The 17,139-nt window shown below is 38.4% G+C and overlaps 1 protein-coding gene across 5 annotated transcripts in view, besides 1 other annotated feature; it reads right to left on the bottom strand.

Annotated features, from left to right (window-relative positions):
• Window positions 1-17,139, bottom strand: part of MYO16 (myosin XVI) — a 712,290-nt gene that overhangs the window by 541,616 nt on the left and 153,535 nt on the right. For all 5 annotated transcript variants that reach the window (XM_011521062.2, XM_047430183.1, NM_015011.3 and 2 more), the window contains exon 2: window positions 241-504. In XM_011521062.2, the coding sequence (XP_011519364.1) occupies window positions 241-466 (226 nt within the window). In that variant the 5' untranslated portion in view covers window positions 467-504. The remainder of the gene's footprint in view (window positions 1-240; window positions 505-17,139) is intronic.
• Window positions 14,191-14,384: a silencer, noted in NCBI's record as "fragment chr13:109304354-109304547 (GRCh37/hg19 assembly coordinates)". NCBI's record gives its function as "represses an EF-1alpha promoter that drives an FKBP-Casp9 reporter gene in an ReSE screen in K562 erythroleukemia cells {active_cell/tissue: K562}" and the evidence as "EXISTENCE:reporter gene assay evidence [ECO:0000049][PMID:32094911]".

Raw genomic sequence — 17,139 nt, 5'->3', positions numbered from 1 at the left:
AAAAATACAATCTCACCACAATTTTTACATTTTTTTATCTTACTAGGTGGTAGGACTTTTAATGATGTTCTTTGCAAAGAGCATTTTTTTCTTGAATAATACAAACAGTTAAAAGATAGTAGCCTCCAATATTTAAAAGGACTTTTCTGCCCCATCTCTCCATCAAAAAAACAACAAACCAACAAAAATCAATCATGAAAAATCACATCAGAAAACGGGTCCTTCTTTCTTATCATGTACCTTCTTTGTCATTGTGGTGGATAATCGCGTCCTGTAGCATGTCCGTGAGGTTGAAGTGAACTTTCGGATTCTTCGCATGCTTCAGCCTTTTCAGGAACCCTTCCTGCTTCTGAAAAGCCTTCTCGCGCTCATAGTAGGCTTTGATTTGCTCACAGCGCATGCGCTTCACTAGACGCTGCCGTTGGCCAAGGGGAAGGGACTCTAGCAAGCACTGGTCGATTTCCATCTCATGGGATCGAAAAACGTTACATAGCTGAAAGCAACCTGGAAGAAATGCAAGGGGAGCGTCACCAGACCTATTATTATAACCACTATAAGTGTGCACCACAGCACACTTGATTTTATATTGTCCATTGCACAGGTCATAAATGCAACAATTCTCCTTGCACTTGATATTGCAAATCCAAAGCCCTTTTTATAGATTGGGGAAAAATAGTTCGTGTGTTTCTCAAGATTCTGTGGTAATAAAACAAATGATGGAATTAGACATGCATATGTAGTTAAGCTCAACACAATTACTAACCATCCATCTCTTCCTGTTTCTTTCAATCCATCCCAAAAGCCTCCAGATTTCATCACTGTGTCAAGTTCCTTCTAATTGAGTAATACTAATTTTGCATGTTAAATGTTGGCATAAAATCATTCCAAACTTTTTCAGAACAACCTAATAGATTTGCTTTTGCGTATCATGATGACTAATCATGACGCTGTTAATTTAAGGTAATAGAATATATATGCTGCCAAGTATAATGGCTGAAGCCTGTAATCCCAGTGATTTGAGAGGCTGAGACAGGAGGATCACTTGAAGCCAGGAGTTTAAGACTTGCCTGGGCAACAATAGGAAGACCCCCATCTCTCCAAAAATAAATAAATAAATAAATAATAAATAAACTTTTAAGATAGCTAGGCATGGTGGCATGTGGCTATAGTCCCGACTGCTTGGAGGCTGAGGTGGGGGATCGCATAAGCCCAGGAGTTTAAGGTTGCAGTGAGCTAGGATTGCACCACTGCACTCCAGTCTGGGCAACAGAGTGGGGAAAACAGGAGAATATATGTGCTATCAACTCCTTATATGATACAGTGGACATTTTTCATTAATTTATTGCTAAACTCTTTTTCTCATCATCAGTGACATTCATTTCCAAGAAACCTGTGGTTAAGTATAAAGACTGAGGGTTGGCACAGAGATATTTCTCAAAATTGTGGAGAGAATTTTGGCTGCTACGGTTCTTGTTTTATTTATATAGTGATTAACAAAGTGAATTCCCATTTCTGAAACTTAAAATATCCCCCTTGTTTCAAAAGGCTACTTCCTATAAACACCAGTCAAAGCACCTGTAATGGAATTGTATAAACACTTATATTTACCACTAGGTTAAAATTTTACTATTGGCAGAAAATCAATGTTAAAGCATTAAAAATTCTAGAAGCTGGCTTGCAAACACAGATTCAGATGTGTTTATATATTCTTAAGCTATTTATGATATCAGGTCTCAAGGAGGTTAAAGTAACTATGCATGCACAAAATGTGGTTGATCATATGCCATATCCAAGAAGATTATATACTAAGGGTATAGTTCATCTTTGGAAAGATGCCCTGGTCCTTTGAAGGAACAACAAGTCATGACAACACTATTTCCACTTCTGTTTCTTGTGACACTTTCCAAGTCTTTATTCTCACAGCCGCCAGGTGCACCAGCATAAACATCCCTGTTTAGCATATAAAGAAAACCAAGTTGAGAGAGGTTGTGACTTGTCTAAGGTTAAAGAGGCAATTAGACAAACAGAATAAAAAATGCTCCATAGAGAAGAAACAAACCAAAGCACCATGATTCTCTAATGCCAGGTATTGAATATATAAGTACTTTTACATAGGATGTAGGAAGAAAAAGAAGCCATGTTGGGGGATTTTGTGTTCATTTATTTGCATTTGACAGAAGCTATACGTTTTAGTATCATATGTTTTCATAAGACTCTTCATAAGTATTCATAAAAGTGATGTGAGAAATATCAACTAACTATACATAAAATATTCCCTGTCCAGTAACCTAAACGCAAATAGACAACAGTGGTTCTGAAACGATGACAAATTGCTCTGGAGTACACTTATTTGATAAAAGCTATGATCACTGCCAGAAACAGATTGTATGAGAAAGCTCATTAATAAAGAACCATAACTGTCTTCTGCTTTCACATCTGTGTAGAAAACTGCACAGGGCTTGATTGATTGACTTTGATACTTGTGACACTTTGACTTCTGTGACTTTTCTGGCTTGTCATTAGGTGCCCAGGGGATCAACAGGGCCACAAAAAAAAGCCTAAAGAATTAAAACAAATAACATCACAGAGTGCCATGTGTTGATTAGCCAGCAGTTGATGGCTGAGGATAATTGAATAAACATAGCAGTCCTCTAGTTTGTAACTCTTAAGAAGCGTCTCTTGGTGAAATTTTCAATTAACTTTTAAAAAATCCACAGTGACAGATCATGATTCATTGAGTTTTCCCTCACAGGCTGTCAAGAGGGAATGTAGAGGGTGGCTCTTAAATCAATTTTCTTATTTTCCTTTATGATTTGGAAAACTCAAAGACCATAATTGTTAAATTTTAAGTCCATTCATGTCTCAAATCTTGATTTTTAATGTATTTTTGCTAAATAATTCCCCATGTTTTGATCTAAAACATTAGTTTATAAATTGATTCTTTTGTAATCTGAAAATTTATTGCGCATTTTGACTTTCTTTTAATCTAAGTCCAAGTGGGTCAGCTGTGTCATGTACGTATATGTCTATGAATCGATAAGATATATAATATGACCAGTTGATCTCAAAAAAAAAATAAAGAAAGAATCTATAAGATAACACAGGGATTCAGGGGATCATGGTGGACAGGAGGCAGGACTGGATTGCAGCTGCGGACAGAGCAGCATGTAGAGGCTTGCATTGTGAATTTTAGCTCCAGATTGACTTCAAGAAGAAACCAGCAATCCCGAGAGGACCCACAGATCCTCTGAAAGAAGAGGACTGCTCCTGCAGGACCTGGGAGAAACCTCAAATACTATGAGTGCCCCAACTGCAGAAGAGGGAAAGAGAGACCCTCCTTTCCCAGACACACACCCCCACTGGAGAAGGTGAAGGTCTGTCTGTGGGAGAAGTTTCCAACTTTACCTGGGGCTGAGTCAAGTTAGAGGGCTGAGCAAAATACATGGGTAGAGGAAGCAGCAGAAAGGTCCTGGGAGCTCACTGTGTCCCCAAGCAGCCCATTCCTGCCTGGCACCACAGGGATTCATTGGGAGGGTGGCCAGAGGGAGAAGGAATTCTCTAGCTGAACTTTGTAACATTTTTTAACAGGATGAGAAGCATCCTGGCCAGAACTCGGGGGAGGGTGTGAATCAGGCATGCAGACTTCACAGGCAGGGAAAGAACTAAAGCCCTTTTCTCTTGCAGCTGGAAGTTGGATAGCCTCGGGCAAGTTTTCAAACCCATCTTGCCCTCCACCTGGGAACAGACTCAGGGCTGTTGGTTTGTGGGGCACGGTGGGAGTGAGATCAGCCCTTAGGTTTGCCTGGCCCGTGACTGCCGGCTTTCCCCCAGTTCCCTGACAACCTGCATGACTCAACAGAGGCAGCCATAATCCTCCTAGGTACACAACTCCAGTGACCTGGGAATCTCACCACCATCCCCCAAAGCAGCCACAGCAAGACCCAACCAAGGAGAGTCTAAGCTCAGTCACACCTAGCCTTGTTCCCACTTAATGGTCCTTCCCTATCCACCCTGGTAGTGGCAAACAAAGGGCATTAATCTTGGAAGTTCTAGGGTTCCGTCCACTGCCAGTCCCTCTCCACACTACTACAGCTGATGCTTTCTGGAAAATGCCACCTCCTGGCAGGAGGCCAACCAGCACAAAAATAGAATATTAAACCACCAAAGCCAAGGACACTTATGCAGTCCACTGCAGCCTTCACCACCTCCACCAGAACAGGTACTGTTATCCACGGCTGAGAGACACATAGACAATTTATGTAACAGGACTCTGTGCAGACAACCCCCAGTACCAGCCTGGAGCTGGGTAGACTCACTGGGTGGCTAGACCCAGAAGAGAGACAACAATCACTGCAGTTTGGCTCACAGGAAGTCACATCCATAGGAAAATGGGGAGAGTACTACATCAAAGGAACACCCCATAGGACAGAAGAATCTGAACAACAGCCTTCAGCCCTAGACCTTTCCTCTGACAGAGGAACCCAAATGAGAAGGAACCAGAAAACCAACCCTGGTAATATGACAAAACAAGGCTCTTCAACATCCCAAAAAAATCACGTTAGTTCATCAGCAATGGATCCAAACCAAGATGAAGTCTCTGATTTACCTGAAAAAGAAATCAGAAGGATAGTTATTAAGCTAATCAGGGAGAGACCAGAGAAAGTGAAAGCCCAATGCAAGGAAATCCAAAAACTGATATGAGAAATGAAAGGGGAAATATTCATGAAAATGGATAGCTTAAAGAAAAAACAATCAAACATTTGGGAAACTTTGGACATGCTTTTAGAAATGCAAAATGCTCAGGAAAGTCTCGGCAATAGAAGTGAACAAGTAGAAGAAAGAAATTTAGAGCTTGAAGACAAAGTCTTCAAATTAACCCAATCCAACAAAGACAAAGAAAACAGAATAAGAAAATATGAACAAAGCCTCCAAGAAGTCTGGGATTATGTTAAATGACCAAACCTAAGAATAATCAGTGTACTTGAGGAAGAAGAAAATTCTGAAAAACTGGAAAACATATATGGAGGAATAATTGATGAAAATTTCCCCAGCCTTGAGAGAGACCTAGACATCTAAATAGAAGAAGCACAAAGAGCACCTGGGAAATTCATCACAAAAAAGATCACCTAGGCACATTGTCATCAGGTTATCTAAAGTTAAGATGAAGTAAAGAATCTTAAGAGCTCTGAGACAGAAGCACCAGGTAACCTAAGAAAGAAAACCTATCAGATTAACAGCAGATTTCTCAGCAGAAACCCTACAAGCTACAAGGGCTTGGGGACCTATCTTCAGCCTCCTCAAGCAAAACAATTATCAGCCAAGAATTTTGTATCCAGAGAAACCAAGCATCATACATGAAGGAAGGATACAGTTGTTTTCAGACAAACAAATGCTAACAGAATTTGCCATAACCAAACCACCACTGTAAGAACTGCTAAAAGGAGATTTAAATCATGGAAACACATCAAAACAGGACCTCTTTAAAGCATAAAGCACACAGGATCCATAAAACAAAAATACAAGTTAAAAAGCAAAAACAAAAAACAAAACCAAAGTACACAGGCAACAACAAGCATGATGTAAGCAATGATACCTCACATTTCAAAATTAACATTGAATGTAAATGGCCTAATTGCTCCACTTAAAAGACACAGAACTACAGAATGTAGAATAACTCACCAACCAGCTATCTGCTGCCTTCAAGAGACTCACCTAACACATAAGGACTCACATAAACTTAAAGTAAAGGGGTGGAAAAAGGCATTTCATGCAAATGGACACCAAAAGGAAGCAGGGGTGGCTATTCTTATATCCGAAAAAAACAAACTTTAAAGCAACAGTAGTTAAAAGAGACAAAGAGAGACATTATATAATGGTAAAAGGCCTTGCCCAACAGGAAAATATCACAATCCTAAATATATATGTACCTAACACTGGAGTTTCCAAATTTATAAAATAATTACTAATAGACCTAAGAAATTAGACAGCAACACAATGATAGTGGGGGACTCCAATACTCCATTGACAGCACTAGACAGGTCATCAAGACAGAAAGTCAACAAAGAAACAATGGATTTAAACTATACGTTGGAACAAGTGGACTTCTGACAGCTAAAGACTGGTCAACAGATACCCTTCCTCATGGGGGTCACTCAAAATTCCCTTTTAACAAGGCAAATGTCCCCTGAAAAACACTTCAATTCCTATTGCTTGCTTTATTTTTCTCCTTAGTATTTATCACTCTTATACTTCTACAATAGCTACCTATCTAATTATTTATTTATTTTAGAGATGGGGTCTTGCTCTGTTGCCCAGGCTAGAGTGCAGTGGCATAATCATAGCTCACTGCAGCTTCAAACTCCTGGCCTCAAGTGATTCTCCCACTTCAGCCTCCCAAGTAGCTGGGACTGCAGGCATTTACCACCACACACGGCTCTCCTACAATATCAATTACTATCCTTCAACCGTACATTATACTAATATCTATACTAATCGATTTCCTAAAATACAATTCTATATATTTTCTTATTGCTTTAGTAAGCCCCATAAAGGCAGGAACTTGGGCTGTTTCTTCCCCTGCTTACTTTCAGCCTCTGGAACAGGAGGTAGTCAATAGTTTTGCTGTTGTTGTTGAATGAAATTGCAGAACGGACAATTATGTTGATGGAAGAAATATCACACTCTTTATTAGGACCTAATCCAGCACTTAACATGTGGCAGATAAATGCTTAGTCCTGCTCTTACAGAAATGCAAGATGACACCGTGTTCCCATCTAACTGCTTTTCCTTACAAAATTATCTGGCCTGAGGCAGTGTCATGAAGCTCATCTTTGTAATGGATTTCTTATCTCCAGTGTTACACTTTTTTAGGGGGGCAAGGGAGGTGGCAGGGATTCTACATATATGGTTATCCTGCAATTCCAGATAAAAGTTTATGGCCAGAAGCCCCTGCTCAGCGAGTGCGTACCTCTGTAGGACTAAACTTGAAAGCCAGGAAATATCTGACATCTAGTTATATATCTATACCTAGACATCTAAATAGATGTGTTTGTGTATGTGTGTGTATATATGTGTATTATATATGTATATAATATGATATATATGTATACTATCATATATATGATATATATATATCATATATATCATATATAGCATATATATATCATATATATATACACACACACACACACATATATATACACACATGGTTTCCATGCACCTTGGTTTGGAGGACCCTATGCACTGTGTCATGATGTCGAGACATTATGTTATAACTAACTAGAAATATAAAGAGTAAAGTGAAGAGGAAAATGAACTAAAAAAAAAAAGAATATGTAAATTTATTCTGCTGTACAACTACCGGAAATGCCCCATGTCATCTAGAATAAAAATCTTCCTGTGGCCATGGTACTCTCAGTGTTCAAGATTTTTAAGCAAATCTCTCTGTGATTGCTAAAGAGGCAAAACATTACTAAGAGCACAGAAAATTTGATCTAAGTACATTTATAGAAACTTGCAGACAATTTGCAGGAAACATTCTTTTCCAAGAATTCATAGATGATTTATGATATTAACTGTCTCTTAGGCCATAAAGCAAAGCAAATCTCAATAAATTCTGAGGAACCAAAATTACACAGGCGTTTTCTTAACATAATTGAAAATGGAATATCAACTAAAGAAATGAAACCATACCTCCCCATATGTTCAGAAACTTACAAAGCCAATTCTACATAAAGCATGGTTCAGAGAAGAAAACATCACAGAAATAATACATTTTTAGAATTAACCATTGATGAAAGGAGATCCATCACAATTTTGTGGATAAAACTAAAGCAATTCATAGAAATAAATTATTAACTTTAAATACATTTTAGAAAAGAATATAGTTTTAAAGTCAATAAGCGAAGTATCTGGCACATGAATTTAGAAAACACACACACACACACACACACACACACACACAAAGTTGAAACAAAAAAAAGAAGGAAGAAAATAAAATGATGCTATTAATTAATAGACATGAAACAAGAAAAGAGGAAAGGTGAAGAAAGACGTGAGAAATTGACAATTTCTAGAACAATATAACTTACAAAAAGTGACTCAAGAAGAAGTGGAAAATGAACCAATTTATGCAATCATTGTATAAATTAAATCAGTTTTTAAAAATCTATAGACCAGAAATAAAAACAAACAAACAAAATGACCCAAATGATTTAACCTGTCTTTAAGGCAGAGATAACCTGCATTTTCATCCAGTTCTTTCGTACAATAGAAAAAGAAGAAAATTACCTCAGTTCATTTTCTGAGACAAGCATAAGCTCGATACCAAAATGAGGCCATCCCAAAAAGGAGATTACAGGTCAATCTCTTGTATAAACACATGCAAATAGCCTACGTGCATACATATTAGCAAAATGAACCCATGAATGTATAGTTTGTCAGCAGAATGAAAGGGTGGCTTATTTTAAAACATTAAATTGTGTTTAAAATTTAGAAAAAGAAGGCCCTTTATTGCTGCTTTTATTCTACCTCAAAATGAAGGTCTTAGCATAGAAAAAAATAGAAAAATATATAAGGAGCATAAAATGTGGGTAGGAAGAGGAAAAAAGTCAGTTATTATTGTAAATACTGTTAGCTACATAGAGAAACCAACACACCCTATGAGTCAGCTATTAGGAGTGATAGTCCGGAACTTTGCTGAATGCAAGTCAAAATACACACAGAAGAAGAGAGCTACATTTTCAAACCTAACAAAAGATGTTCCACCTTATTAACATATAGGAAAATGTAAGAAGATAAAAAAACATTGATTAAGTTTACAAATGTCATTACAATTAAAAAGCAAACTGGAAATATTTAATAAAATGTAGAATCATCTTTCCTACAACCAAGATATATATTTCTTCCACCTCTCGAAATATGCTGCAGATAAAATTAAACAAACACAAAATAGTATAGCATTCATTAAAAAAATTACAGGTAATAAAAATAAACCTTTCATAACTTCTCCTCTATTTTTGGAGGATATAAATCTATTAGGTCACCTTCTCTCTTCGACATTTCCTAACTGTGGCTTTGGTAGAGGAATAGACACTTAGACCAGTGGAACAGAACACAGAACAAAGCAAAAGCTCTACACAAACACAGCCACCTGATTGGTGACAGAGGTCCAAAGAGCTAGACAATGGAGGGAGCATATTCAGATTATGATTACAATTAAAATATTACAGCTATTGAGAAAAATATTTTGGCAATTTCTGTAGCTACAGTATGTAGTAACATTTCTAGATGAAATTATGTGGTTCATTAAGACCGTTCAAGATGATATTCAACATAGGAGGCCTGGAAGCTTCAGCTGCAGCAGGCGTATGTGCCTTCTTAGGTGAGCCTCTTAGAGGGATGTGTGGTGGACACTGGCAGCCTGCTGTCTGGTGCTGAGTCAGCTGTCTCCATAGAGCACCAAGGAAACGGGACAATTAGGATGGAGTACCTGTTTTCACTGATTGCTTTTTCTTTAACTTTTGTACTGGATTTATTGGTTATTATTCACCCTTTATGAGTAGAACTCAAAAAGCTGAGAATGAAGCGGATTCTGGTGAAAGGTTCAGTATGAATCTATTATGGGCATGAATGGAAATAAACTGCTTATTGCCCTACTTTTTTTCCAAAAGGAAAATGAATCAACAGAAGGAAATAAAATAATTGTTGGAATATTTTCTGTAAAGGAAAACAAAATTGACTTTATCATTTATGAGTAAGAATGTATATTTATTTATCTGATGTGGATGAATTATGTTTCAATCACTTCTCCTTATATTTTCAATTTAGGAGATGCTTTATATCGAAGATCTCAGACATTTGGAATATGGAAGTGGGCACTATTGATGTCCTGCCCAATGCCCTTTACCCATCCCCCGCTGACCTGGTATATTAGTCCATTTTCATGTTGCTGATAAAGACATACACAAGACTGAGAAGAAAAAGAGGTTTAATTGGACTTACAGTTCCCTATGGTTGGAGAGGCCTCAGAATCATGGCAGGAGGCAAAAGGCACTTCTTAACATGGCAGTGGCGAGAGAAAATGAGGAAGATGCAAAAATGGAAACCCCTGATAAAACCATCAGATCTCCTGAGATTAATCCCTACCACGAGAGTAGTATGGGGGAAACTGCTCCCATGATTCAAATTATCTCCAACTGGGTGCCTCCCACAACATGTGGGAGTTATGGGAGAATAATTCAAGATGAGATTTGGGTGGGGACACAGCCAAACCATATCATTCTGCCCCTAGCCCCTCCAAATCTCATGTCCTCACATTTCAAAACAAATCATGCCTTCCCAACAATCCCCCAAAGTCTTAATTCATTTCAGCATTAACCCAAAGGTCCACAGTCCAAAGTCTCATCTGAAACAAGGCAAGTCCCTTATGCCTATGAGCCTGTAAAATCGAAAGCAAGCTAGTTACTTCCTAGATACAATGCTAGTACAGGTATTGGGTAAATACAGCCATTCCAAATGAGAGAAACTGGCCAAAACAAAGGGGTTACAGAACCCATGCAAGTCTAAAATACAGTGGGGCAGTCACATTTTAAAGCTCCAAAATGATCTCCTTTGACTCCAGGTCTCACATCCAGGTCACATTGATGCAAGAGGTAGGTTCCCATAGTCTTGGGCAGCTCCACCCCTGTGGCTTTGCAGGGTATAGCCCCGGCTCCTGGCTGCTTTCATGGGCTGGCATTGAGTGCCTGCGACTTTTCCAGGTGTGTGGTGCAAGCTGTCGATGGATCTACCATTCTGGGGTCTGGAAGATGGTGGCTCTCTTCCCAAAGCTCCACTAGGCAGTGCCCCAGTGGAGGCTCTGACCCCACATTTCCCTTCCACACTGCCCTAGCTGAGGTCCTCCATGAGGGCCACGCCGCTGCCGCAGACTTTTGCCTGGGCATCCAGGCATTTCCATACATCTTCTCAAATATAGGTGGAGGTTCCCAAACTCCAATTTTTGACTTCTGTGTACCTGCAGGCTCAACATCATGTGGAAGCTGCCAAGGTTTGTGGCTTGCACTCCCTGACACCATGGGCCCAGCTGGACCTTGGCCCCTTTTAGCAATAGCTGGAGAGGCTGGGACGCAGGACACTAAGTCCCTAGGCTGCACACAACATAGGGACCCTGGGCCTGGCCCATGAAACCTTTGTTTTTTCCTATGCTTCTGGGTCTGTGAGGAGAGCGGCTATCATAAAGACCTATGACATGCCTTGGAGACATTTTCTCCATTGTCTTGGGGATTAACATTCGGCTGCTTGTTACTTATGCAAATTTCTGCAGTCAGCTTGAATTTCTTCTCAGAAAATGGGTTTTTCTTTTCTACGCATCATCAGGCTGCACATTTTCTGAACTCTTATGCTCTGTTTCCCTTTTAAAATGGAATGCTTTTAACAGCACCCAGGTCACCTCTTAAATACTTTGCTGCTTAGAAATTTCTTCCACCAGATGGGCTAAATCATCTCTATCAAGTTCAAAGTTCCACAATTCTCTAGTGTAGGGGCAAAATGCCACCATTCTCTTTGCTAAAACGTAGCAAGAGTCACCTTTGCTCCAGTTCCCAACAAGTTTCTCATCTCCATCTGAGACCACCTCAGCCTGGACCTTATTGTTCATATCACTATCAGCATTTTTGTCAAAGCCATTCAACAAATCTCTAGGAAGTTCCAAACTTTCCTACATTTTCCTGTTTTCTTCTGAGCCCTCCAAACTGTTCAAACCTCTGCCTGTTATGCAGTTCCAAAGTTACTTCCACATTTTCGGGTATGTTTTCAGCAACACCCCACTCTACTGATACCAGTTTACTGTATTAGTCAATTTTCGTGCTGCTGATAAAGACATATCCAAGACTGGGAAGGAAAAGAGGTTTAATTGGACATACAATTCCACATGGCTGGGGACGCCTCAGAATCATGGCGGAAGGCAAAAGGCACTTCTTACATGGCAGCAGCAAGAGAAAATGAGGAAGATGCAGAAATGCAAACCCCTGATAAAACCATCAGATCTCGTGAGACTTCCTAGCACGAGAACAGTATGGGGGAAACCGCCCCCGTGATTCAAATTATCTCCCACTGGGTTCCTCCCACAACATGTGGGAATTATGGGAATGCAATTCAAGATGAGAACTGGGTGGGAACACAGAGCCAAAGCGTGTCACCTTGGTACTGGCTGGAAGGATTCACAGCTGTCCCCTCCTCTAGACAATTGCCCTGTCAGCCTCAGCCTCCTAGGGAATGGAATACCCTAACCCCATCCCATAAGCCATAGTCACTGAGAGACCTACACAAGGATACAAAAACATGTCCCCTTGACTCAAGCAGAGACACTCCATGCTGTGACTTGTACCCTAAAGCAAAGTGGATTGGAATGATAATAGACTCTGCCAAAGACTACATAGTTTTTCTGCTCTTTTCTGTTCTATGCCCTGCTTCCTTCACTCCCTTATGGGTTTTCTCTGTTGAGCTGTCTCAATACATAGGAATGTGCACCTGACTCTTCATTCTCTGCTTCTAGGGGACACAGTCTATATAAGAATATATATATATATACACACATATATATATATGTATATATATGCATGTGTGTGTGTGCATATAAGCATATATATCCTCTTCCATTTTCTAACAACATTCATGTTTTACACCGGGGGAAGAATATATTTTAATACAAACAAATGTTATCAAAGATTGAACATACTAAATGATACCAGTTTTCAAAACTGAAAAATAATAATAAAAGAACAAAAATAACATACATGCAAAAAAATAAAATTGGACTTATTTTACATTATATACAAAATTAATTCAAAATGGATTGAAGACCTAAAATTGTAAAACTCTTAGAAAAAAACACAGGGAAAAAATCTTTATGACATTTATGACATTGGACTTGGCAATGAATTCTAGCTATGACACCAAAAGCACAGACAGAAAAAGCAAAAATAGACGAATGAGACTACATCAAACTTAAAAACTTCTGTGCATAAAAGTACATAAGCATCACAGTGAAAAGGCAGCTTACAGAATGGGAGAAAATATTTACCCTTATACACCTAATAGGAGATTAATATCTAGAACACATAAAGAACTCTTAGAACTCAGCAACAAAAAATCAAATAATCTGATTAAAAATGGGAAAAGGACTTGAATAGATATTTTTCCAAAGATGATATACAAATTCCCAACAAGCATATAAAGATATGCTCAACATCATTGATCATCAGAGAAATGCAAGTCAAAACCACAACAGGTTATGACCTCATATCTGAGAGAATAGCTACTATCAAAGAAACAGAAAATACAAAGCATTGGTGAGGATGTAGAGAAATTGTAACACTTGTTCACTGTTGGGATTGTAAAGTGGTGCAGCCATTGTGAAAAACAGTTTGGAGTATTCTCAAAAAATGAAAACTTCAACTATCATATGATCTGACAATGCTACTTCTGGGTATACATCAAAATAATTGAAAGCAGGGTGTTGGAGAGATATTTGTATACCCACGTTTACAAAAGCTCTATTCAAAATTGCCAAGAAGTGGAAGCAGATGTCCATAGATGAATGGATAAACAAAACATGGTATACATGTATAATGGAATATTATTCAGCCTACAGTGGAAGAGGTTCTTGTACATGCCACAACATGGATGGATATTGAAGACACTTTTTAAGTGAAATAAACTGATCACTAAAAGATAAATACTGTAGGATTCCACTTATATGAGGCTTCTAAAGAGGTCAAACTCAGAAGCAGAAAGTAGAATGATGGTTGCCAGGGACTGAGGCAAGATGAGAGTTGACGTTGAATGGGTACAGAGCTTCAGAATGACAAAATGAAATGTTCAGGAAATCTGTTTCATAACAATGAGAATATACTTAACATTCCTGAACTGTACACTTAAAAATGGTTGCAATGGTACATTTTATGTTATGTGTTCTTACCACTATAGGAACATGAAAGAAAGTGATAAGACACAAGCAGCTAGATTATGGGGCTTTAAAAACATATATACATAGCTGAAGTATTTCACAAATAATGTAGTCACAAACTTATTGTTTACCCTATTTTACAAAAGTATTTGCTAGGAATTCTGAGAGGCCAAAAGATAGTTGTTCAGGAATTAGCATGCTTACATGCAGGTGCTGTAGACACACAGACACATTCACACACACACACGCGCACACATGCGCGCGCGCGCACACACACACACATTGGTATCTGTGCTCCTAACAACTCCTCTAGCAGAAGTTTTATTCTCAGAATCCATTGTTATAACACTCTTCCAAAGACTTTTTTTTTACTGCATATACAATGACGATGAAACAAAGGAACAATGTGGATTCTCAAAGACAAGAGTATAATCAATTTCAACCTACTCCCCCAGAGCCTAAAAAAAATAACCCCTCCTTAAGCACTGAAGTCTTTAAAATGTGTTGGATTTTACCATCCTTGTAATCAAGCTGCAGGTCTATATCCCTCTTTATAGAGCAATAAATAGTTGAAAGAAATTACATGTGTGCAACATATAGACGCTATGCCCTAAAATATTTGAGGATTTAGTTCTACACATAATCCTGCACCTAAACACTTCTCTGAAAGACAGAGAAATAAACCTAAATAATTTAAATTCTTCTCAAGAAAGTCAACAATATTTTTCATTTCACTAGTTTACAGCTATCTCTTAATTCTTTAAATTATGTATCAATAGGCCATTTCTTGTGTTTCCATCCAATTATTTGGGCATGTTTATCTGGTAAGAGAATGTAGTAAGTATTTTCTCTTTAAAATGGAAATAACACCAATACACATGACATAAAAATTACTGTATAATGTAAGGTATATTTACTTTTTGCACATCCATCTATGCTTTCTGACACTTACTATTTCCCTTACCATATTTCGTAAACAACAAGTGATTTGGTCATGATCAAAAGCTTTCAGTGGATATAGATTTACAGTCATAATTCTTTCTAGGGTTCGTTTCAGGGTAATAATAAAACTGAAGTTTCTCCTCATGATGTGATGTTTCTGCTTCATTATCCCAGTAGACCCAGCTGTCCAGTCAAACCTATGGCTGACAGAGTGTACTATGCCCTGCAGGTTGTGCCACAGACAGCTCCAAAGTCATATCCAAGTGCTAAGGCCCCAGCGCACAGAGTGCTGCAGGGCACCCACCGGCCAGGTTCCCTGCAGAGACCAGCCAGCTACATCCAGGCTCTGGAGAGCCTGCTGATTTGAAGCCCTGCCCTGGGAACCAACTGCACAGTGCCAAATCTTCACTCAACCGTTTATTGCTTGTGTGACTTTGGGCAGATTCCTTTTCCTCTCTGTGTCTCGTGTCTACCTCACAGGGATGATCCAATGATAAAATGCATGTGAAGCATCAGCCAAGGGTCTGGCACATCCCATCGTAGCTACTGACTTATCAGATGACAATTTCTCTAAAAAATCTGGCCCTTTAAGATCAGAACTGCCTCCTATGGCTGTTTCCAGATGCCTTCAGATGAAGCGTCATATGCTGCACACCAGAACCTGTCTTTTCCTAAATGCCCCTGCCATTCTAAACACCATGCCTCCACTACTGAGCGTCTTCAAGATGTAAGAGCTCAAATTGTTGCTCTATTTCTTCCAAGAGAGGATGATGCTTTGGAATTAAGACAGTCTCAGACAAGCTTGGATTCCTGGCCCAAACAGGCTATATCCCAAAAGAGAAGTTCTCTTTGGTTTTATACTCAGTAAAATAAATTTAGATGCTCTACCCTAAATATACATTTTTGAACCCTCAAATGTTGAACGATCTTTCTGCTCTGAATCCATATCTACATATTTCATCTTTGATCAACATCTTCAATTCCGGTTGGAAGAGACTCAGCTCACTGTTCCTGCCAGAAAGGTATTTAATAGGCAAATTCTCTGGTGCTCAGACAGTCTCAGACAGGATTCCCTCCTATAGAAACAGAAGCCCTTGCTGGCTCCATTCAGGCAGCTTCCTGGATGCCTTTAGTCTGAGTCTGAAGCAACATTGCAAAATGAACATTACACATTTTAGATACAAGACTAACGAGCATATACTTTATATTAATGATTTCTCTTAAATTTCTTTGTTTTTAATTTAAAAGTATGTATGTATGTGTGTAACTTAAATTTCATGATTGCAAGTAAAACTGAAAAAAATGCATGATTTTCATGTGTCTTGACAATAATTTTATTTAAAATATTATTTTGATATAAAATATTTGCTATTTAATTTTTTGATATAAAACATTTTCAGTACTAAAAGGCCTGAGACAAAACTAAAGTTCACATTTAATATTAAATTTTGGCTTTACAATGCCTGTTTTATTTTTCTTTTCACTGTAAATACATTTGGGAAAAATAAGATGCTAAAATCTCTATTGTCATTTTTAGGTTTTACATATATTTTATAGTTTTTCATGATTTTCATTCCGCTTTTTATTAATTTCTAAGACACATTCAGATGAAAGAAATTCTGCAAGGTCAATTTAAAGATCAATGCAAGAACACAGAAACCAATTCACAGATAAGTTTCTCTGTGTCCAACATAAGAACCCTCCTCATTGCAAGTCTTAATTATTGCATTAAACACCCTTGGCTTTATTCTCTCACCACTTCACTCTACTATGTAGACTTTAAAAACAAGTTTGTTATTATACCAATTCAGAATAATGGTATACAAATAATGGTATAGAAATGGTATAGAAATAGTCAATGGTTCTACCTTGCTTATTGAAGGTTAATACTAATTTGTATTCAAAATAAAGTCAGCTTTTTCCATATATCTTCCATCCTTATTCCTATTTTCCTGCTACTCCATTATACAGATTCTGCCATTTTCATTAACCATCTAGAGTGTTCCATTATTTTTTCTGGGAGCATCCTTCCCCTGGAGAAGCACCTCATATCTGTCACTCCATGTGGTCCTGAAAGTTAGTAGAAACATTGTCCAAGTCAACTGCCCACGGGACTGGAAATCTGAACTGGGCTGAGCCCACCATAATGGCTCTGACACTGACAATCAATGACTGATTCCAGTGTAGGACCTGGCCCTAGTGGGACAATTCAGGATCTTTCCTTTAAGTTT

This window comes from Homo sapiens, chromosome 13, assembly GCF_000001405.40.
Source record: "Homo sapiens chromosome 13, GRCh38.p14 Primary Assembly".
Lineage (NCBI taxonomy): Eukaryota > Metazoa > Chordata > Mammalia > Primates > Hominidae > Homo > Homo sapiens.
Note: the sequence above shows the minus strand (reverse complement) of the source record. Positions and strands in the feature narration are given on the sequence as shown.